Source organism: Homo sapiens, chromosome 6 (genome assembly GCF_000001405.40).
Source record: "Homo sapiens chromosome 6, GRCh38.p14 Primary Assembly".
NCBI lineage: Eukaryota > Metazoa > Chordata > Mammalia > Primates > Hominidae > Homo > Homo sapiens.
The window spans coordinates 390,983-411,605 of NC_000006.12; the positions used below are offsets into that span (position 1 = coordinate 390,983).

The 20,623-nt window shown below is 48.8% G+C and overlaps 1 protein-coding gene across 5 annotated transcripts, besides 14 other annotated features; it reads left to right on the forward strand.

Annotated features, from left to right (window-relative positions):
• Positions 457-846: a silencer, noted in NCBI's record as "silent region_16806". NCBI's record gives its function as "represses an Ori minimal core promoter by ATAC-STARR-seq in GM12878 lymphoblastoid cells {active_cell/tissue: GM12878}" and the evidence as "EXISTENCE:reporter gene assay evidence [ECO:0000049][PMID:35858748]".
• Positions 770-20,461, forward strand: IRF4 (interferon regulatory factor 4). 5 transcript variants are annotated; one of them, NR_046000.3, is made up of 10 exons: positions 770-827; positions 2,116-2,386; positions 3,839-4,025; positions 4,865-4,953; positions 6,129-6,270; positions 7,846-7,953; positions 10,442-10,795; positions 14,036-14,148; positions 15,784-15,917; positions 16,473-20,461. NR_046000.3 is itself a non-coding variant. In NM_002460.4 (9 exons), the coding sequence occupies exons 2-9, from the start codon at positions 2,171-2,173 to the stop codon at positions 16,614-16,616; spliced, it is 1,356 nt and encodes a 451-aa protein (NP_002451.2). In that variant the 5' UTR covers positions 770-827; positions 2,116-2,170; the 3' UTR covers positions 16,617-20,461. The 5 variants fall into 5 exon arrangements, 4 of the variants coding, with proteins under 4 accessions (NP_002451.2, NP_001182215.1, XP_006715153.1 ...); NM_002460.4 differs by lacking the exon at positions 15,784-15,917 and having other exon boundaries at positions 6,126-6,270; NM_001195286.2 differs by lacking the exon at positions 15,784-15,917.
• Positions 1,087-1,156: a silencer, noted in NCBI's record as "silent region_16807". NCBI's record gives its function as "represses an Ori minimal core promoter by ATAC-STARR-seq in GM12878 lymphoblastoid cells {active_cell/tissue: GM12878}" and the evidence as "EXISTENCE:reporter gene assay evidence [ECO:0000049][PMID:35858748]".
• Positions 1,437-1,486: a silencer, noted in NCBI's record as "silent region_16808". NCBI's record gives its function as "represses an Ori minimal core promoter by ATAC-STARR-seq in GM12878 lymphoblastoid cells {active_cell/tissue: GM12878}" and the evidence as "EXISTENCE:reporter gene assay evidence [ECO:0000049][PMID:35858748]".
• Positions 1,657-1,706: a silencer, noted in NCBI's record as "silent region_16809". NCBI's record gives its function as "represses an Ori minimal core promoter by ATAC-STARR-seq in GM12878 lymphoblastoid cells {active_cell/tissue: GM12878}" and the evidence as "EXISTENCE:reporter gene assay evidence [ECO:0000049][PMID:35858748]".
• Positions 1,817-1,926: a silencer, noted in NCBI's record as "silent region_16810". NCBI's record gives its function as "represses an Ori minimal core promoter by ATAC-STARR-seq in GM12878 lymphoblastoid cells {active_cell/tissue: GM12878}" and the evidence as "EXISTENCE:reporter gene assay evidence [ECO:0000049][PMID:35858748]".
• Positions 2,107-2,156: a silencer, noted in NCBI's record as "silent region_16811". NCBI's record gives its function as "represses an Ori minimal core promoter by ATAC-STARR-seq in GM12878 lymphoblastoid cells {active_cell/tissue: GM12878}" and the evidence as "EXISTENCE:reporter gene assay evidence [ECO:0000049][PMID:35858748]".
• Positions 2,457-2,636: a silencer, noted in NCBI's record as "silent region_16812". NCBI's record gives its function as "represses an Ori minimal core promoter by ATAC-STARR-seq in GM12878 lymphoblastoid cells {active_cell/tissue: GM12878}" and the evidence as "EXISTENCE:reporter gene assay evidence [ECO:0000049][PMID:35858748]".
• Positions 2,677-2,736: a silencer, noted in NCBI's record as "silent region_16813". NCBI's record gives its function as "represses an Ori minimal core promoter by ATAC-STARR-seq in GM12878 lymphoblastoid cells {active_cell/tissue: GM12878}" and the evidence as "EXISTENCE:reporter gene assay evidence [ECO:0000049][PMID:35858748]".
• Positions 2,987-3,096: an enhancer, noted in NCBI's record as "active region_23842". NCBI's record gives its function as "activates an Ori minimal core promoter by ATAC-STARR-seq in GM12878 lymphoblastoid cells {active_cell/tissue: GM12878}" and the evidence as "EXISTENCE:reporter gene assay evidence [ECO:0000049][PMID:35858748]".
• Positions 3,137-3,186: an enhancer, noted in NCBI's record as "active region_23843". NCBI's record gives its function as "activates an Ori minimal core promoter by ATAC-STARR-seq in GM12878 lymphoblastoid cells {active_cell/tissue: GM12878}" and the evidence as "EXISTENCE:reporter gene assay evidence [ECO:0000049][PMID:35858748]".
• Positions 8,978-9,097: an enhancer, noted in NCBI's record as "active region_23844". NCBI's record gives its function as "activates an Ori minimal core promoter by ATAC-STARR-seq in GM12878 lymphoblastoid cells {active_cell/tissue: GM12878}" and the evidence as "EXISTENCE:reporter gene assay evidence [ECO:0000049][PMID:35858748]".
• Positions 13,988-14,107: an enhancer, noted in NCBI's record as "active region_23845". NCBI's record gives its function as "activates an Ori minimal core promoter by ATAC-STARR-seq in GM12878 lymphoblastoid cells {active_cell/tissue: GM12878}" and the evidence as "EXISTENCE:reporter gene assay evidence [ECO:0000049][PMID:35858748]".
• Positions 19,146-19,235: an enhancer, noted in NCBI's record as "active region_23846". NCBI's record gives its function as "activates an Ori minimal core promoter by ATAC-STARR-seq in GM12878 lymphoblastoid cells {active_cell/tissue: GM12878}" and the evidence as "EXISTENCE:reporter gene assay evidence [ECO:0000049][PMID:35858748]".
• Positions 19,656-19,805: an enhancer, noted in NCBI's record as "active region_23847". NCBI's record gives its function as "activates an Ori minimal core promoter by ATAC-STARR-seq in GM12878 lymphoblastoid cells {active_cell/tissue: GM12878}" and the evidence as "EXISTENCE:reporter gene assay evidence [ECO:0000049][PMID:35858748]".

Consider the following 20,623-nt stretch of genomic DNA (forward strand, 5'->3'; position numbering starts at 1 on the left):
TCCTTAGGGAGCCTCTCCCCGCCCCCATCTCTTTCATGCTAAGATAATTAAAACTTCGGGGCCGGGGCATTGTCTGAGTCACTTCAATTCACCAGCCTAATAGATGCAAAAGGATGTAAGCATGTCAGACACGCAGAGACAGTATTTGAATCAAGCTTAATAGCTCAAGGGAGCTGGGCCATTTCCTATTTTCTTTTTAGTGAGTGCGATGTTCTCTAAACACCGCGGAGAGGCAGGGTTCCCGGTGATGGCCTTGCCGAGGGTGCTCCCGCAACCTCCACCTCCAGTTCTCTTTGGACCATTCCTCCGTCTTCCGTTACACGCTCTGCAAAGCGAAGTCCCCTTCGCACCAGATTCCCGCTACTACACGCCCCCCATTTCCCGCCCTGGCCACATCGCTGCAGTTTAGTGATTGACTGGCCTCCTGAGGTCCTGGCGCAAAGGCGAGATTCGCATTTCGCACCTCGCCCTTCGCGGGAAACGGCCCCAGTGACAGTCCCCGAAGCGGCGCGCGCCCGGCTGGAGGTGCGCTCTCCGGGCGCGGCGCGCGGAGGGTCGCCAAGGGCGCGGGAACCCCACCCCGGCCGCGGCAGCCCCCAGCCTTCACGCCGGCCCTGAGGCTCGCCCGCCCGGCCGGCCCCGGCTCTCGGCTTGCAAAGTCCCTCTCCCCAGTCCAACCCCCGGCCCCCACAGGCCTCGGCGCCCCGCCCCGCCCCAGGCCCCGCCCCAGAGAGTTCTATAAAGTTCCTCTTTCCCACCTCGCACTCTCAGTTTCACCGCTCGATCTTGGGACCCACCGCTGCCCTCAGCTCCGAGTCCAGGGCGAGGTAAGGGCTGGAGTCGGGCAGGAGGAGGGGTGTGAGGCTGATACCAGAGAGGACCCGGAGCGCGAACCAGAGGTTCGACCTCCAGGGCAGCGCAGGGTACCCCGGCTTCGGAGCGGGAAGGGAGCGCGCCCCGTCCTGGAGCTCCGACTCCCACCCCATCTGCGCTGAGCCGGAGGCGCTGGTTTGGGCTCCAAGGCCCGCCTCCTTGGCTCTGCCCGAGCCTCCCCGCCTGCCCTCCGCGCTCCTGCGACGGGGTCGCCACAAGCTGGACGGGATGAGCTAACCGGACTGTCGGGGCCCCAGGAGTGGCTGAGGCGGGGCCGTCCAAGGCACCCACACAAGACGGCACAACTGCCTGCGAGAAACAGGCCCGGCCCTGTGGACCCCAATCCGAGGCTCCTTCCCCTGCTCTTCGTTCCTAAGGGGCCCAAGCTCACGGCGGCCTCCGGCGCGGTGCTCACCCGCTGGCGCAGGAGGAGGAGGAGCTCCACATTTGGGTCGCTCCGAGCCTTGCGTGCGGTGGCCTAGCCGGCCTGGCGCGGTCCCTGCCTCCCAGGCTCCGCAGCTGTCGTCGCCCTCTCCCGCGCCCTCCCCGCCTCCGCTCTCCCGGGCCTGCTCCGGGGTCCGGCGGACGCTCTGCGCGCGGAATCCCCCGTACTGGGGCTGCAGCCCCCGCGTCTGCGCCACTTGTCGTTTGCAGAGCCCACTTAGTGCGCGCTAGCTGGGCAGGGATAGGGGTCCTATTCGGGGCGAAGGGTCTGGATGCGAGCAGAGAAAGCGGAGGGTGGAGGAACCCGGGGCTGCGCCCCTGGAACGCCCGGCCGCAGGCGAGGTCCTCCGCGCGTGGAGGCCGCCAGGGGAGTGGAAACTGACAGAGTCGCGGGGAAGGGGCGAGAAGCGGGTTGGGAGTGAGCGAAGGCAAGCGAGAGCTGCGAGTGAGTGCGGAAGGAGGGCCAGGAGGGGTGGCGGCTGGGTGGGGAGAGAGGGTGCAAGACGAGCGGCGCGTGTCGGGAGCCTTTGGGCTGCGGGTGCGTTACAGGAGAGCAGGCGGGTAGGAGCCTTCGCGGGGGCCGAGCTCGGAAGGCGGACGGCTGTGCCCGCCCAGGGGATGCGCCCGGGCCGGCCGCGAAGGTGCCTTCTTCCGGGGGCCCGGACGACCCTGACACGGCACGCGCGCGCTTCGCAGCCTCAAAGACTCCGGGGCCTCGTGGTCACTGGCGCAGGGGATCGGGGCGGGGTGCCCGGAGTGCGGTGCCTCGTGGCTGAAGGGCAGCTCTTCTCCCCGCAGTGCAGAGCAGAGCGGGCGGAGGACCCCGGGCGCGGGCGCGGACGGCACGCGGGGCATGAACCTGGAGGGCGGCGGCCGAGGCGGAGAGTTCGGCATGAGCGCGGTGAGCTGCGGCAACGGGAAGCTCCGCCAGTGGCTGATCGACCAGATCGACAGCGGCAAGTACCCCGGGCTGGTGTGGGAGAACGAGGAGAAGAGCATCTTCCGCATCCCCTGGAAGCACGCGGGCAAGCAGGACTACAACCGCGAGGAGGACGCCGCGCTCTTCAAGGTCTCCGGCCTCGGGAGCCGGCGGGGGCGCGCCGGGGAGGGCCCAGAGACAGAGCCCGGGGTCCCCGGCGCCGCCTCCGAGGCGAGCCCAGGGGACCGCGCGGGGCGGACGGGCGGGCGGCGGAGGCATCAGGTGGCGTCGCCGGAGCCGCAGGAGGAGGAAAGGAGGCCTCGGCTCTCAGCGGGACCGCGGGGGCCGGGAGCCGGGTCCTGGGCGCGTGGAGGCTGCAGGGAAACCGCTGAAGGCCCGGCCGGGCCCGGGGAAGGGCGGCCAAAGGCTTGAGGGGTTTTGCGCGTTCGTCCGTGCGTTCTCGTTTCCACGCAAGCCTCCCGCCCTTCCTCCGGGCTCCCGTCTGCCGCCTCCGTCCGTGGGTCCCCCTCGCCCTCTCCGTGCGTCCGCGCCTGTGCCGGCGGCTGTTTTCGTCTCTCACCGCGTCTCTGTTTCTCTTTTCGCTGCTTTTCTCTCTGAGTCTCTCTCTCTCCATGTTTTTCCTGAGGTCAGCCTCTCTTCTCGCTCCTGCTAGCTCTCTGCGGGTACTCCCACCTCTGTCTTTCTCTTTGTGTGTCTCTGTCTCTCTCTTTCCCCCATCGCAGTGGAACTCAGGGCCTCTGTCTAGAGCTGTCTCCCTTGCCCTTTGCGCGAGTGCACACACGTGTGTCGTTGTTACGATTGTTCTCCCCTAAGGCAGTTTACCCAGAGAACTACGTGTCTGGGCCCAGCCCCCACCTGTGGGCAGAGCAGGGGAAGGGGACTTCCTCCGGGAATTTGGTCTCAATTTGCTCTCAGAGTGCCTCAGCTGTGCTGCCATCCAGATGTCTCCTGTGGGTGACAGCTCACACCACAGCTGTCCTTAGTCCTAGGCAAGCTCACTCAGACACTGGGTGGGTAGAGCCCCCTCAAGGAACCTCCGCATCTCACTCTACCGGTTATAAATACCCAGAAAATGTGTCTTCAACTTGGCAGTGATAGGGTCCAAGATGGAAAATCATTTTCCTAGAGCATAGCTGGGGTCTTTCAGTTTACGTTCTGAGCAACGGTGTAAATCTGAAGGACCTATGCGCCATTCTTTCTTTTAGAAATACAATTTCAAGATTCCTTATAAAATATCTGTATTTTGGGTTTAGCATGGTGGCTCACACCTGTAATCCCAGCACTTTGGGAAGATGAGGTGGAAGGATGCCTATGCAACATAGTGAGACCCTGCCTCTGCAAAAAATAATAATTAAAAAAATTAGCCAGGCATGGTGGTGAACACCTGTAGGCCGAGGGCCCAGCTACTCTAGAGGCTGAGATAGGAGGACCCTAGAACTCAGGAGTTCGATGCTGCGGTGAGCTATCATCGTGCCACTGTACTCTAGCCTGGGCAGCAGAGCAGGACTCTGATTCCAAAAAGAAAGCTAATAAACCAGACATGTATTTTGACTTTTCGTTCTCTTCATTCTTTCCCACCAGGCTTGGGCACTGTTTAAAGGAAAGTTCCGAGAAGGCATCGACAAGCCGGACCCTCCCACCTGGAAGACGCGCCTGCGGTGCGCTTTGAACAAGAGCAATGACTTTGAGGAACTGGTTGAGCGGAGCCAGCTGGACATCTCAGACCCGTACAAAGTGTACAGGATTGTTCCTGAGGGAGCCAAAAAAGGTAGGGGCTCTCCTGAATTTGGGTCACCTAACAGAGGCAGCCAGATCCTTGAGGCACCTTAACTTCATTCTGAGCATCACTTTCTAGCTTTCCTTTTGTATTGCCTGCCTGCCTGCCTTCTGCCTCACAGTGAAGCCCAGCCTCCTTGCCTGAGTTATGTGGGTCACAAGTTGAAATTCCTGTGGGGTTCAGCATAGGAGAATTAATCACACTGTATGCCTCAATGTATATGGGGGGGGGTGCATTGAATATGTGTTTTCCAGTTAGTCTTTCAAAAAAAAAAAGAAAAAAGAAAACTGGATAACTTGTTAAAATTTACTTATCTAATAGTCTTTAGTGAGTGACTATTTTGCAGAAAAGGAGTAATGAGAGGAATATCTCATCACTATGCATGGTAATAAAACTGTCAACTTTTAAAGTGTAACATGGTCAGCTGAGGTGTTTATTAAAAGTCAGATTCCTGGACCCCTCTTTTCAAGATTCTGACCAGTGTGTCTGGAAGAGAGCTCAGGAATCTGCATCTGGAACAAATCCTTCAGGTGACCTCACTTGGGAAACATCTGGCTGGCGGGGTCCTTTATGTCACAAGGCACATTCGCATGCCATCTGTCATGTATTTCTTTACCTGTCCTGTACAACTCAGACCTTGTAGAAAAAAATCAGTTTAATAGCATGAAAAAATAACTTCCCAAGGGAGTTGCTGAAAAATACCTTATTTGTCAACACCGTGTTATGCATTCTAAGAATTAAATGCTCAGGTATTTTTACAAGATTTGACATTTAGTTAGGTCAGTTCCTGTTTTTACGTTGTGCCATTTCCCTTTTCCCCAAACATGTAGGAGCCAAGCAGCTCACCCTGGAGGACCCGCAGATGTCCATGAGCCACCCCTACACCATGACAACGCCTTACCCTTCGCTCCCAGCCCAGGTATGGTGGAGGGCACTGGGCTCCCTGAGGGCGAGGCTGTGTGGGCCAGCTGCCCACATGGCCAGAGAACCACAGCAGCCCAGACAGCAGAACTTGCCATTTGCTATGGCTGCTCCAACAGCCCAGAAAAACCCCAGGTCACTGAACGAATGTCTCACTTTCCACACGGTGCTGCCATTGGTGTGGATTTTAAGTTGGGGAGGGTCGGGCGTGTCCGCCTGTTGGAATATGCTTCTCAGGTCTTCTGGGAAACAGATGTTTTGTGGAAGTGGAAGATTTTGGAAGTAGTGCCTTATCATGTGAAACCACAGGGCAGCTGATCTCTTCAGGCTTTCTTGATGTGAATGACAGCTTTGTTTCATCCACTTTGGTGGGTAAAAGAAGGCAAATTCCCCTGTGGTACTTTTGGTGCCAGGTTTAGCCATATGACGAAGCTTTACATAAAACAGTACAAGTATCTCCATTGTCCTTTATGATCCTCCATGAGTGTTTTCACTTAGTCTGATGAAGGGTTCACTCCAGTCTTTTCGGATGATAAAATGCTTCGGCTGTCAGTCTAATAAGGGATTCCCTGAGGAGTTTGGAGGCTGTAAGAGCACCCCCCGTCTCAATGCCAGTGCTTCTTATCTCAGCCTCTCCTGCACTCCTTTACCCCCGTCTCGATGCCAGTGCTTCCTATCTCAGCCTCTCCTGCACTCCTTTACCCCCGTCTCGATGCCAGTGCTTCCTATCTCAGCCTCTCCTGCACTCCTTTACCCCCGTCTCGATGCCAGTGCTTCTTATCTCAGCCTCTCCTGCACTCCTTTACCCCCGTCTCAATGCCAGTGCTTCCTATCTCAGCCTCTCCTGCACTCCTTTAACCCCGTCTCGATGCCAGTGCTTCTTATCTCAGCCTCTCCTGCACTCCTTTACCCCCGTCTCAATGCCAGTGCTTCCTATCTCAGCCTCTCCTGCACTCCTTTACCCCCGTCTCAATGCCAGTGCTTCCTATCTCAGCCTCTCCTGCACTCCTTTACCCCCGTCTCGATGCCAGTGCTTCTTATCTCAGCCTCTCCTGCACTCCTTTACCCCCGTCTCGATGCCAGTGCTTCCTATCTCAGCCTCTCCTGCACTCCTTTACCCCCGTCTCAATGCCAGTGCTTCTTATCTCAGCCTCTCCTGCACTCCTTTAGCAGGTTCACAACTACATGATGCCACCCCTCGACCGAAGCTGGAGGGACTACGTCCCGGATCAGCCACACCCGGAAATCCCGTACCAATGTCCCATGACGTTTGGACCCCGCGGCCACCACTGGCAAGGCCCAGCTTGTGAAAATGGTAAGGAGGATACCAGTGCAGGAAATAGAAGAGCTAATTGCTAATGTGGCCATGGGCCATGGCGAATCCTGGTCTGTCCTGGGCAGCACCAAAGCTCTTTCCCCTTCTTAGAGGCTGCGTGTGCAGCTCGGGGAGAGGGGGGTTTTCTCACTCCTGTGGGATGGTGGCATCCCACAGCCAAGTTTACTCTCAGGATCCATGCTAGGCACTGCCCTTCGTGGGATCTTATTTAAACACCACAGAGATCACTCCAGGCAGTGGAAAACAGCCCCCCACTTTTTATATAGAGAGGAGATTGTGGAAGCTCATAAATAATAAGTAGGGATGCTGGGAGATTATTGAGCTGGTATATTTCTCTCGAATAGTGGTGTGTTCATTGTTGCTATTGTTGGAATTAGAGGTGATACTAAAAAAGGAACGGAAAAATACCATGGCAAACACATAAAACGTCTCTACAGGTGCCTACCTACCACTGGGTCCCAGAAAGACTTGCTGATTGTGGATTAGATGTGGTCCCCTGCCCTCGGGAGTTCCCCAGACATCAAAATGAGCTCCCTCAGCAGAAGCTCTCATTAGCTGGGTGCAGGGAGAATCTAGCAATGCGGTAACTCAGGCCTTCAGGACTTTTGAGTTAGTTACTTAAATGGAAGTCCTGAGACAGGTCAACACACTGAACCCTTTGGATGTTTTAGGAATATTTGTTCCTTTGCAATTTGGCCTTTTTTTCCCCAGTCATGTTCAGGTTATCCTTGGCTGCAGGTAGTGAAGAGGTGTACCACTCTTTAATGTTTGTACTGAGTGGCATGTTCACAAAAAAGCTCAGAATTCAGTTGCATTGGCTTTTCAAGAGGGATTTGCAGCAAGGGCTGGTTTCCAATATGGTAGTGGAGGAATTGGCTAACATAAAACTAGCTCCTGAAATTCAGACTTGCGTTTACTGCTCTGGCTCTATGGAATTAGTAACCATGGGAAAGAGGCAATGCTTAGAACTGTGTAAAGTGATGGAGTAGGTAGAGACCTGTCTTGAAGCATCGGTAACAGTAAATGAAGCAGCAGCAAGATCAGGTGTTCTGTGCCACATTCTTTTTCCATTCATGTTTCATACAACATTGTCTTCAGGAACATGGTTCAGTGTTCTCCCAACCCACAAGAGACAAGCAAAATAAAAATGGACTAAATAATTTGCTAGTTTTTAATTGGGCTCTTTGGCACAGACTCAAGTAGACCTGAACTCTCAGCTCTGTTGTGAACCCGCTTTGTGAACAAGGACAAAGCATGTCATCTGTCTCTGAGCCTCAGTCTCCCTGTTAGTCAGTTACAGAGAGAGCGCTCCAAGTTTCCTTCCAAAGCTGTGCACTGGCTCGTTTCTCCATCAGCTTTGGTTTTCCAGTTGGTCTCCAGCTCATCTTTGCCTCACAAGAGCGTGCCCTGCTAGTTGCTGGTGCTGGGAGTGGGTGGGAAGGTGATTGGGCGCCAGCCCCTTCCTTCCCAGGCTTCACACACACACCCCAGGAAGCCCCGCGGTGCGTCGGACTCTCTGTCTAGACATCATCTGATTTTTATTTGCAAATGCAGGTTGCCAGGTGACAGGAACCTTTTATGCTTGTGCCCCACCTGAGTCCCAGGCTCCCGGAGTCCCCACAGAGCCAAGCATAAGGTCTGCCGAAGCCTTGGCGTTCTCAGGTGAGTGCAGGGTTTGCTCCTGGAGGCACCGCAGGAGGCCAGCCTCTGCTGCCAGCTCTGTCATCTTTGGGCAGATTCGATGGGACTTTAGACACTTGCTTTGCTCCCTCTGGGGTCTGGAGTAGATGTAGACACATCCTGTGTGTGAGGTGACCAGGGTGATTTAGGAGCACCATTAGAAAACCTGACATCACTGCTTGTGGTTCTGCTGACCGTTTCAGCCACTGGCTTGAATGGAGTCATTTTGGCTTCTTCACTGGCACCTCTCTGAATTTCTAGGAATGTGCCTTTACCTTTACCGAGGGCCCCTCTTCAGCCAACATTCTCACGATGTGGAATAATTGCTTGGAAGTGTAGAAGGGCTTCTCATTTTGAGAAGCTGATCATCCTTCCAGGTTGAGCCACAAATAAGTCCTCCTCCTCTACTCCCTGGGGACATTAGTTCTGGTCCCTCATCTCTAAAACATTGATGTGCCTAAGAGTAATACACATTTTGGTCTTCCTCTGAACTTTAATATAGCTTGCAAACAAATATGGATTCAATCTGATTTTTAAAGTTTTATTTCTAAAAAAAAAAAAAAAATCCCTGCACCATGGAGATCTTACCTACTATAAAGAAGGCACCTCTAGGCTTGGCAAGCACACGTGCTATATGTATATTTATTTTTCAGATAATATTTTGGATTGTTTTTAAATGGGATTTGTTTTTATATTAAAACCAAATAGCTTAAGGTTTGGAATTCTCATCTTGCCCTCTGGCATCTTTAAAAATCAGTGATGAAAAATACTAACTAAATTCTGAAGGTTTCAGGGAGGCGAGAGTTGTGGCACTTTTGCTGCTCAGAGGGGAGCTGGAGTTTGACCTACCAGCTCTTTCTAGTTGTGAATGAGGCTTGCACCTTTTTTTCTGAGGTGCTCGTGAGTAACTGAGGATGCCCTTTGGGAGGAGGTGCTTCTGAGCAGGAAGGCTTGTGTTTGTTTTTAGAAACTTTCAAACCCTTGTCTTGAACACCTAAGACTTGTGTGGGTGCCTGAAGAGTAGGAAATAAACAGCTATTTATATCTCGGCAACCTCGTGATTTCTGATGACATTAAATGAAATGAAACCTGCCCCGAGAATCACCTCGAATGGCCAACACCCACTCTCTTTGGGGCGCACTGTCTGACTCGCTTTCAGACAGTGTGTTGAAGCAGAGAATTGAGACAGTGATGTGGGTTAAGTCTCAAAACCTGCTGTTGAGGAATAAGATAGTTTTGTGGGTTTCTTTTTTTGGTATGCATGATACAGATTAATTATCAGCCATGAGCACATTTATTAGATAACTGTGATTCCCATTGATTTTGGGGTTCCATACAGTTACCAGTGGCAGCTGCCTCCTGTCTGTGCCACTCCCCTGCGGTCTGGCTGAGGAGCTTGTGCAAACCCAGCTTGGTTCTTTCAACTCATGGGCGATATTTTAAAGAGGCTTCTGAAATCAGCAAAACGTTTGTAAATGGATTCATCTTGTTTAAAGTTTCAGAGAGCGCAGTTTTAGAGTTCTTTTCAAACTTAAACACAAAGCCCAGTGGGAATTTCAGCAGACTTTACATGAACTTTTAGAGTATTTTTCTCATTAATTTCTTTCTTTTCACAAGAATTAATTTTGTGATAAAAACACCACATATCCAGTGTGGAAAACTAATTTAAAAATCAGAAAAACAAAAATGGAAAATAAAAATATCACATTCTACCACCCAGAAATCACCATTAAGGCCTCAGTGCTTACCCTTTAATGTGTGTATGTGAGTGTGTTTATATATAAATTATATAGACATAAATAATTAAGCACCTAATTCTATATATAATTTATATATGTACACACACACACACACACACACACATTTGCTTTTTACCTAAATGATGTCATGTTATTATTTTGGGGACGTTTCAGGTATGTGGACCGACTTGCTTCTTTCTGAAACACCGTTATATTTTTTGCTAGTATAAATTAAACTTAGGGTTCATTTCCTCCAAAGTAAAAATTGATTTGCTTAAAGATGAATTTTCATTCAGTGACACATGACTTAAATGACATCACCACTATCATCATCATAATTCACAAATAAGACTTAGCAAGTTCTTAATAGTGATGCTCTATAATAGGAATTCAACTTACATTTCCAGAAAATTAATGAAAGATACACTTGTTCCTTAAAAAAAGAGTCGGTGGCCACATACGTTTGTAATATGCTGGTTTAGACAGATTAAATGGGTTTCTTTCCACGGGACTTCTCCAAGTGTTGACCGAGCTCATGCTGTCTGTGGATCTCTGGGGGAGACAAGGGCACGCTGTGTTTCCCAGGCCTCCTTGACGCGGGAACCTTTTGTTCCCCCACGGGACATGTGGGACACTAGAGTTCCACCACAGGTGCTTGGCTCTGTGGAGTCGTTGGCCTCGAGGTGGTGTCCTTGGCCCCCAGCACTGACTCCGGAGCTCTGTGTTTGCAGACTGCCGGCTGCACATCTGCCTGTACTACCGGGAAATCCTCGTGAAGGAGCTGACCACGTCCAGCCCCGAGGGCTGCCGGATCTCCCATGGACATACGTATGACGCCAGCAACCTGGACCAGGTCCTGTTCCCCTACCCAGAGGACAATGGCCAGAGGAAAAACATTGAGAAGCTGCTGAGCCACCTGGAGAGGGGCGTGGTCCTCTGGATGGCCCCCGACGGGCTCTATGCGAAAAGACTGTGCCAGAGCAGGATCTACTGGGACGGGCCCCTGGCGCTGTGCAACGACCGGCCCAACAAACTGGAGAGAGACCAGACCTGCAAGCTCTTTGACACACAGCAGTTCTTGTCAGGTAAGGCACCTCGTTATCTGTTAGAATGGAGGTGGTGATGGCCTGCCTGCCACAGGGGTCAGAAACCACAGGGTCCCTCCCACCCCAGGCTGAGGTCTTCCTCCTGTTGACTTCGGCGCCCACTGGGCTTGGGGCTTGACTCCAGTAGAGATCTTCTGTCTGGCTCTGTTGTGGGCAGAGAGTCCGGATCAGATGGTCCAGGTGGACCATGGCTCAGGCTGTTCTCTTGCAATTCTGGTTTTCAGCAGTCGCCTCTTAAAACAGTTCCATTTCATTGCACTATGATCTCGACAAATACGTCTGCTGATGTGGCGGCTCTTTTCAGGTTCCCAGAAAAATCATAAAGGTTGGAAGCATATTGTTAACATTCTTGGTTGTCAGGTGTGTCACCCTCATGCAGATGCTGGCCCACGAGTGAGACGGAGGGTGGAGTGGACTGTACTGGTTTTGCACAGGAGAAGTTATAGGAGAGTGCTATAAGTTGGCTCTGTGATATGAACATTTCTAAGCATATTTTTCAGAACCAGTGAGTTTTGTTTTTCTACCTTGGATTTCATGACAATTCAGCGAACCTCTGGCTGGCTTCTGTGAAGCCCCTCGCCCTGTCATGCTGGGCTTCCTCACTGGCTTTGTGGGGCTGTCCAGGTGGAGGGAGCCTCCCGCGTGGGAGGGAGCTGCTCTACCCGCCACTCGCCACCCCACCGCCAACTCTTCCTCTGCCTTTTCCCAGTCCTGTCCCTTCCTGAGCCCCTTCAGAAACTCCTGTGTCTTTGATTTCTCATGTGCCTCCCCTTTTCTTGAATGTGCTTCTTCATTCAACTTATTTAAAATAAAAATATGACACGTCTGTGTGCTCTGGCACTGTTGACATGTGCTCGTACTTCTGGGTGTAAGTGACCCAAGTTTTTGTAAGCTCATCCAGATTTTCTTTTGGTGCCCAAAGCAAATATGTCCCCAGATAACTAAGCTTCAGGCCAGGTGTGGTGGCCCATGCCTGTAATCCCAGCACTTTAGGAGGCTGAGGTGGGCAGATCACTTGAGGCCAGGAGTTCAAGACCAGCCTGGCCAACATGGCAAAACCCCGTCTCTACTAAAGATACAAAAATTAGCTGGGCGTGATGGTGGGCGCCTGTAATCCCAGCTACTCAGGAGGATGAGGCACAAGAATCGCTTGAACCTGTGGGAGGCGGAGGTTGCAGTGAGCTGAGATCGCACCACGGTGCTGCAGTTTGCAGGACAGAGCGAGACTCCATTGCCCCCCGCACCACAAAAAAATAACTAAGCTCACACAGAGGCTGACCATAGGAAGAGGGAGAACTGTGCTGGTTCCCCGAGGCGGCGGCAAGTGAGGAAGTCACCTGGGGCTGGACACCTCTCATTCTAAGGGCAGAACCATCCCCAAGCCCTGGCCAGGGCGGTCCCATCCTTCTTGGGGTTGGGCATGGTGTTCATGGGGGACCAAGGAAATTGAAGGGCAACTGGGGGGACCCCCCCTCCCCTGTCAGCATCTCCTGTGTCTGCCTTGGGATCTGGAAGAGCTCACATGGGCCAGGAAGGCTAAGGCCCACTGGGCCTGGATTTCTGAAGACTCTGGACCTTGGTGCCAGTGGATTCAGAAGATACCACAAGGTGAGGGCTTTCTAATGAAAGTGTCACAAGGAACTGGCACTGGCTTTTCTGAGTGCCTCTTGCTGGGCGTTTTTAGGGAGGTAGAGCCCCCGTGGTGACTAAGCTGGAAGGTGCACATTGAGTCACAGGTGCACTGCGTGAGAGACAGCACAGGCAGGGGGTGGACGCCTGTGAGTGTCCTGGGGCTGTAGACTTGCGCGACTAGAACTTACTATTAATCTGTGAGCAAGAGCTGGTCTTGGCTTTCATTCCTTCCTCTGTAACCAAGGGCTGTGCTCTTTGCCCACTGCAGCCTCTCACCTCAAAGTGTTCACTGAGGTTCAAGGAGGATGCTGTGAACGTAAAAACTGCAGCTGTGCCAACCAGCTTCTGCATAATTAAGGATTCCCACCAAACACTCTCATGTTATCTAGGGTTGGAGCCATGCTTTCTCAGAGAATTGTGCCAACTCGCCATTCTGATTAGCCTGTGTAGGTGTAGTCTCAGATCACGGCAGTGTGAATGTATTTTACAGATTCTGACTAAGTCATTTGGGTTTGATTTGAATTCTGGAAAAAAAAAAAAGCAGGAAGTCAAATAGTCCTGTAAGTTAGCTAGAAACTTCTGTTCAGTTGAAGAGAACAGTGGAGATCTTTGATATCTTCCTATTCAGGTCTGCACAGCACTAGGGACAGCCCCCAGGGCCCGGCCCGAGGGTGTGTATCTGATAAGGACGCGTCTGTTCTGCAGAAGCTGTAGCGGCTCCTGTGTCAACTCGTTTCTTTTGCGGGCGTGACATTTTATTGTAGCTACAGGCAGAAGATTTGTCTTGTGTACAGGGGAGGGAGCATGGGCTAAAGTCAGGGGATGGGCACTTGTCTTTCCAACAATGTTCCAGTCCGTTTTGTATCTTTTGGGTAGGTGTGGTGGCTTCAGGATGTACATGTGTATATCCACAAGCGGGAGGCCAGGGGGGCTGCCCCACTCCTGTTCTCAAGTCAAGTTACTGTTCCATCCCTGGAGACAGGCAAGAAGTCTACTCAGAGTTACACAGTTCAGGCATAGTGACAGTGGGACTCAGCTGCCGATGGCTGGTGCTCAGTCACCACGTTGACGTTACATATTTTCTGTGGTGCCTGAGTTACGTGGATGTCCGCAGTAGCACAGATACTGGATTATGTGGGCTCTGTAGTGAGGGGATGAGGTTTTAAAATGATCCTGGGATGTCGAAACATTCTGATTTTTTAAATGAAAACTTGTCCATGGCATAAATTGGTCTTTTGCCATTGCGTGACTACGTTTCTTGTTCTTTATCTCCCGACTTCACTGTGGTCTACTACCTTTTGAATCTTCGTGGGTCCAATGCTGCAAAGCAGTGTTCTTTAGCTGTCGACTAGTTCCTCTTGAAGAATCGAGGGAGACCGAGGGCCCTGGGGGGAAAGCACCCAAAGGAATGCATACATGCTATTTTGTATCTGAGATGTTCACATCAAGAGCCCCACTCAGCGGAGTAAGAGTGCTCATTCCTCTTGCAGTGTTCAGAATCACAGTAAGCTCTTGCTTCCTGTTTAACCTGGTGTGTTCGGTGATGAGGGTTTCTGAACATGGTCTCTTTCTTGTGGGCTTCTACAGAGCTGCAAGCGTTTGCTCACCACGGCCGCTCCCTGCCAAGATTCCAGGTGACTCTATGCTTTGGAGAGGAGTTTCCAGACCCTCAGAGGCAAAGAAAGCTCATCACAGCTCACGTGAGTCCTCAGTTACACTCCTACCATAGTGGCTTCCTGTTCTTTGTAAAGGCCAGAGTTTCATTTAGAAAAGTCCCAAATGAAAAGTAAATGTCAAATGACCTGGAAAAATAAGCGTAACCCTTAAACTAGTGAGGGAGGAAGCATGGTCCAACGAGCAGCACAGTCTGAGGACTCACGTGCTCCTCCCAGACTTGAGATCTGCTCATCAAAGAACCAGGGAGGACAGCCTCAAAGGAGGGTGCCTCTTTCCCCATCTTTTTTATTTTTCAGGAAAGTTGTCGTATTTCCATTTTATAGGGATTGAAAAAGATTGATGGTTAAAGTTGCCCTTTAAAATTCTCCAGGTTAAGATTGCTGTAAGAATGCTATCTAGCTAGTGGATCTTCATTCAATGGAAAAGCTTTTCCCAAATGAGAAACTATCCATTCCCTGGAGGCATTTTGTAGGTCTCTGCAGCTGTGTCCTAGCACCTCTTTTATTTCTGGAATTTTAGAAATTATTTAATTATTGGGCATATGATATTTGAAAGAGGCTGAATCTTTCAAGGAATTCAAGCAAATCAGACCCTCTCGTAATGTTCTCTAGCATAGCTCAAGATGGGTTCAACTGTGGCAAGTAACACTAAAAGGGTAGGGTTAGGATTAGGGTTAGAGTTTTCTTTTTTATGAGAAAAGGTTTCCATAGATAACATGAAGCATTAATTTGCCATGGGAAACAGAATCTTGAACCCTTAAGACTTTTGAATTTGAAAACTTCACATTGCTACATACTTGCAAGCATTATTAACGGGCTTGCATGCTGAGCAATACCAGGTAAAAGTTACACCCCCTAACATCAAAGTTCTCATCATGTTCTAGCTCTGATGCTATTTCTCATTGAGAACTGAAATGAAACATGGTTTAATCTTGAACATACAACCCCCCTTCTTGATTTTAAAAACAAAGACCAGCCAACCAACCAGTATATAATCCCATAGACTCAGGAGTTTTCTCATGAGTTCTCTCCAGTGATTGACTTAATAATTGATATGATTGTTGAAATAATAACTGATACATTGTTAACAACAGGAATTGCTAAATGACTAAATAAACTTGGCATTGATAAGCAGCATTTAAGAAGTTGATGATCGGCCGGGCACAGTGGCTCACGCCTGTAATCCCGGCACTTTGGGAGGCTGAGGCGGGCAGATCATGTGGTCAGGAGTTCGAGACCAGCCTGACCAACATGGTGAAACCCCCTCTCTACTAAAAATACAAAAATTAGCCGGGCGTGGTGGTGCGCACCTGTAATCCCAGCTACTCGGGAGGCTGAAGCAAGGGAGTCACTTGAACCCAGGAGTCAGAGCTTGCAGTGAGCCGAGATTGCACCACTGCACTCCAGCCTGGGTGACAGAGTGAGACTCTGTCTCAAAAAAAAAACAAAAAAAGAAGTTGATGATCAGCTCAGCTATCACATCAATCCAGTTTTAAAGTTGACATGGATGCAAGTCACTGTCCTCTAAGTCAGGGAAAGATGGATCCCCAGATGACCCCCTCATGCTGAAGACGAGGCTGCGTGGTCCATAAAATGAATAAACACACGTGTACACCTATGAGTTCCACTTTTAAAAATTATTAATTTAATTCATTTCAGGTACTTAGGAGTTTAGCTTAAGTCGTCATATATAAAATACAGTCTCTAATATCATGATTGATGGAGAGCATTCAGCTTGCCTTAGATGCTGTAAATTCAGGAAAAGCTGAACATTAAGGCGTTTTTGTTTTTTGGTGAGTGTGATCCACGCTAATAACCAGACAGTATAAATTTGAGGCCAGTTAGCTTCTCTTTTTCCACAATAGTAGTTTTGTTGTTGTTTAACTTTACTTTTTATTTCTTTTACCTCTGGTTGAGAACTATACAGATTACCTAGAAATCAAATCATTCAGGATGAGCTCCTTGTTTCTTTCAAACTGCAGTTGTGGAAAAACAAAATCATTGGCCTAAATTACCCTGCAGATTCCCTCAGACTTCCTTTTAATTTGATCACTTTACTTGATTTGATGCAGTTTTAGTTAAATGTACATTTTAAGTGGCAGTCGATTTGAAAGTAACATCTTTAACCCAGAATTAAGTCACTTTGGCTGTTTTTTTACATGTTGATCTATGGAAGGACTAACCAAAAAATTGCTTCTTTAGATGGCTCCAAATATGAAATGTTTTGATGTGTTCTAGGATGTAACTTTGGGCTTTACGTTACTGTCTCCTTAGAATCTGAGTGCTGTTTAATAGTGAGCCAGTTGCAGGATATCTCAGTAATGTCTTTTTAAAATCTCTTATTAAAGGTAGAACCTCTGCTAGCCAGACAACTATATTATTTTGCTCAACAAAACAGTGGACATTTCCTGAGGGGCTACGATTTACCAGAACACATCAGCAATCCAGAAGATTACCACAGATCTATCCGCCATTCCTCTATTCAAGAATGAAAAATGTCAAGATGAGTGGTTTTCTTTTTCCTTTTTTTTTTTTTTTTTTTGATACGGGGATACGGGGTCTTGCTCTGTCTCCCAGGCTGGAGTGCAGTGACACAATCTCAGCTCACTGTGACCTCCGCCTCCTGGGTTCAAGAGACTCTCCTGCCTCAGCCTCCCTGGTAGCTGGGATTACAGGTGTGAGCCACTGCACCCACCCAAGACAAGTGATTTTCATTGTAAATATTTGACTTTAGTGAAAGCGTCCAATTGACTGCCCTCTTACTGTTTTGAGGAATTCAGAAGTGGAGATTTCAGTTCAGCGGTTGAGGAGAATTGCGGCGAGACAAGCATGGAAAATCAGTGACATCTGATTGGCAGATGAGCTTATTTCAAAAGGAAGGGTGGCTTTGCATTTCTTGTGTTCTGTAGACTGCCATCATTGATGATCACTGTGAAAATTGACCAAGTGATGTGTTTACATTTACTGAAATGCGCTCTTTAATTTGTTGTAGATTAGGTCTTGCTGGAAGACAGAGAAAACTTGCCTTTCAGTATTGACACTGACTAGAGTGATGACTGCTTGTAGGTATGTCTGTGCCATTTCTCAGGGAAGTAAGATGTAAATTGAAGAAGCCTCACACGTAAAAGAAATGTATTAATGTATGTAGGAGCTGCAGTTCTTGTGGAAGACACTTGCTGAGTGAAGGAAATGAATCTTTGACTGAAGCCGTGCCTGTAGCCTTGGGGAGGCCCATCCCCCACCTGCCAGCGGTTTCCTGGTGTGGGTCCCTCTGCCCCGCCCTCCTTCCCATTGGCTTTCTCTCCTTGGCCTTTCCTGGAAGCCAGTTAGTAAACTTCCTATTTTCTTGAGTCAAAAAACATGAGCGCTACTCTTGGATGGGACATTTTTGTCTGTCCTACAATCTAGTAATGTCTAAGTAATGGTTAAGTTTTCTTGTTTCTGCATCTTTTTGACCCTCATTCTTTAGAGATGCTAAAATTCTTCGCATAAAGAAGAAGAAATTAAGGAACATAAATCTTAATACTTGAACTGTTGCCCTTCTGTCCAAGTACTTAACTATCTGTTCCCTTCCTCTGTGCCACGCTCCTCTGTTTGTTTGGCTGTCCAGCGATCAGCCATGGCGACACTAAAGGAGGAGGAGCCGGGGACTCCCAGGCTGGAGAGCACTGCCAGGACCCACCACTGGAAGCAGGATGGAGCTGACTACGGAACTGCACACTCAGTGGGCTGTTTCTGCTTATTTCATCTGTTCTATGCTTCCTCGTGCCAATTATAGTTTGACAGGGCCTTAAAATTACTTGGCTTTTTCCAAATGCTTCTATTTATAGAATCCCAAAGACCTCCACTTGCTTAAGTATACCTATCACTTACATTTTTGTGGTTTTGAGAAAGTACAGCAGTAGACTGGGGCGTCACCTCCAGGCCGTTTCTCATACTACAGGATATTTACTATTACTCCCAGGATCAGCAGAAGATTGCGTAGCTCTCAAATGTGTGTTCCTGCTTTTCTAATGGATATTTTAAATTCATTCAACAAGCACCTAGTAAGTGCCTGCTGTATCCCTACATTACACAGTTCAGCCTTTATCAAGCTTAGTGAGCAGTGAGCACTGAAACATTATTTTTTAATGTTTAAAAAGTTTCTAATATTAAAGTCAGAATATTAATACAATTAATATTAATATTAACTACAGAAAAGACAAACAGTAGAGAACAGCAAAAAAATAAAAAGGATCTCCTTTTTTCCCAGCCCAAATTCTCCTCTCTAAAAGTGTCCACAAGAAGGGGTGTTTATTCTTCCAACACATTTCACTTTTCTGTAAATATACATAAACTTAAAAAGAAAACCTCATGGAGTCATCTTGCACACACTTTCATGCAGTGCTCTTTGTAGCTAACAGTGAAGATTTACCTCGTTCTGCTCAGAGGCCTTGCTGTGGAGCTCCACTGCCATGTACCCAGTAGGGTTTGACATTTCATTAGCCATGCAACATGGATATGTATTGGGCAGCAGACTGTGTTTCGTGAACTGCAGTGATGTATACATCTTATAGATGCAAAGTATTTTGGGGTATATTATCCTAAGGGAAGATAAAGATGATATTAAGAACTGCTGTTTCACGGGGCCCTTACCTGTGACCCTCTTTGCTGAAGAATATTTAACCCCACACAGCACTTCAAAGAAGCTGTCTTGGAAGTCTGTCTCAGGAGCACCCTGTCTTCTTAATTCTCCAAGCGGATGCTCCATTTCAATTGCTTTGTGACTTCTTCTTCTTTGTTTTTTTAAATATTATGCTGCTTTAACAGTGGAGCTGAATTTTCTGGAAAATGCTTCTTGGCTGGGGCCACTACCTCCTTTCCTATCTTTACATCTATGTGTATGTTGACTTTTTAAAATTCTGAGTGATCCAGGGTATGACCTAGGGAATGAACTAGCTATGAAATACTCAGGGTTAGGAATCCTAGCACTTGTCTCAGGACTCTGAAAAGGAACGGCTTCCTCATTCCTTGTCTTGATAAAGTGGAATTGGCAAACTAGAATTTAGTTTGTACTCAGTGGACAGTGCTGTTGAAGATTTGAGGACTTGTTAAAGAGCACTGGGTCATATGGAAAAAATGTATGTGTCTCCCAGGTGCATTTCTTGGTTTATGTCTTGTTCTTGAGATTTTGTATATTTAGGAAAACCTCAAGCAGTAATTAATATCTCCTGGAACACTATAGAGAACCAAGTGACCGACTCATTTACAACTGAAACCTAGGAAGCCCCTGAGTCCTGAGCGAAAACAGGAGAGTTAGTCGCCCTACAGAAAACCCAGCTAGACTATTGGGTATGAACTAAAAAGAGACTGTGCCATGGTGAGAAAAATGTAAAATCCTACAGTGAAATGAGCAGCCCTTACAGTATTGTTACCACCAAGGGCAGGTAGGTATTAGTGTTTGAAAAAGCTGGTCTTTGAGCGAGGGCATAAATACAGCTAGCCCCAGGGGTGGAACAACTCTGGGAGTCTTGGGTACTCGCACCTCTTGGCTTTGTTGATGCTCCGCCAGGAAGGCCACTTGTGTGTGCGTGTCAGTTACTTTTTTAGTAACAATTCAGATCCAGTGTAAACTTCCGTTCATTGCTCTCCAGTCACATGCCCCCACTTCCCCACAGGTGAAAGTTTTTCTGAAAGTGTTGGGATTGGTTAAGGTCTTTATTTGTATTACGTATCTCCCCAAGTCCTCTGTGGCCAGCTGCATCTGTCTGAATGGTGCGTGAAGGCTCTCAGACCTTACACACCATTTTGTAAGTTATGTTTTACATGCCCCGTTTTTGAGACTGATCTCGATGCAGGTGGATCTCCTTGAGATCCTGATAGCCTGTTACAGGAATGAAGTAAAGGTCAGTTTTTTTTTGTATTGATTTTCACAGCTTTGAGGAACATGCATAAGAAATGTAGCTGAAGTAGAGGGGACGTGAGAGAAGGGCCAGGCCGGCAGGCCAACCCTCCTCCAATGGAAATTCCCGTGTTGCTTCAAACTGAGACAGATGGGACTTAACAGGCAATGGGGTCCACTTCCCCCTCTTCAGCATCCCCCGTACCCCACTTTCTGCTGAAAGAACTGCCAGCAGGTAGGACCCCAGAGGCCCCCAAATGAAAGCTTGAATTTCCCCTACTGGCTCTGCGTTTTGCTGAGATCTGTAGGAAAGGATGCTTCACAAACTGAGGTAGATAATGCTATGCTGTCGTTGGTATACATCATGAATTTTTATGTAAATTGCTCTGCAAAGCAAATTGATATGTTTGATAAATTTATGTTTTTAGGTAAATAAAAACTTTTAAAAATTTGTTATGGAATGTGTGTGTGTGTTATTAAACATGCATCCTGATAGCTTTTAAAGCACTTTCTCCTGCGGTTACGTTCCTTCAGAGAGGCTGCTGTACGTGTCTCTGAAATCAGATCTCCAAGTGTTCACCTTGTTAAAGAGACAAACGCTGGCCAAGTGCCGGGCTG

Bases quoted from the DNA above. Each gene is read 5' to 3' on its own strand.
- IRF4 (NM_002460.4), top strand. From the start codon at position 2,171: ATGAACCTGGAGGGCGGCGGCCGAGGCGGAGAGTTCGGCATGAGCGCG. The intron at 4,026-4,864 runs GTAGGGGCTCTC...CCAAACATGTAG, and splicing joins TCCTGAGGGAGCCAAAAAAG to GAGCCAAGCAGCTCACCCTG. The intron at 7,954-10,441 runs GTGAGTGCAGGG...CTGTGTTTGCAG, and splicing joins CGAAGCCTTGGCGTTCTCAG to ACTGCCGGCTGCACATCTGC.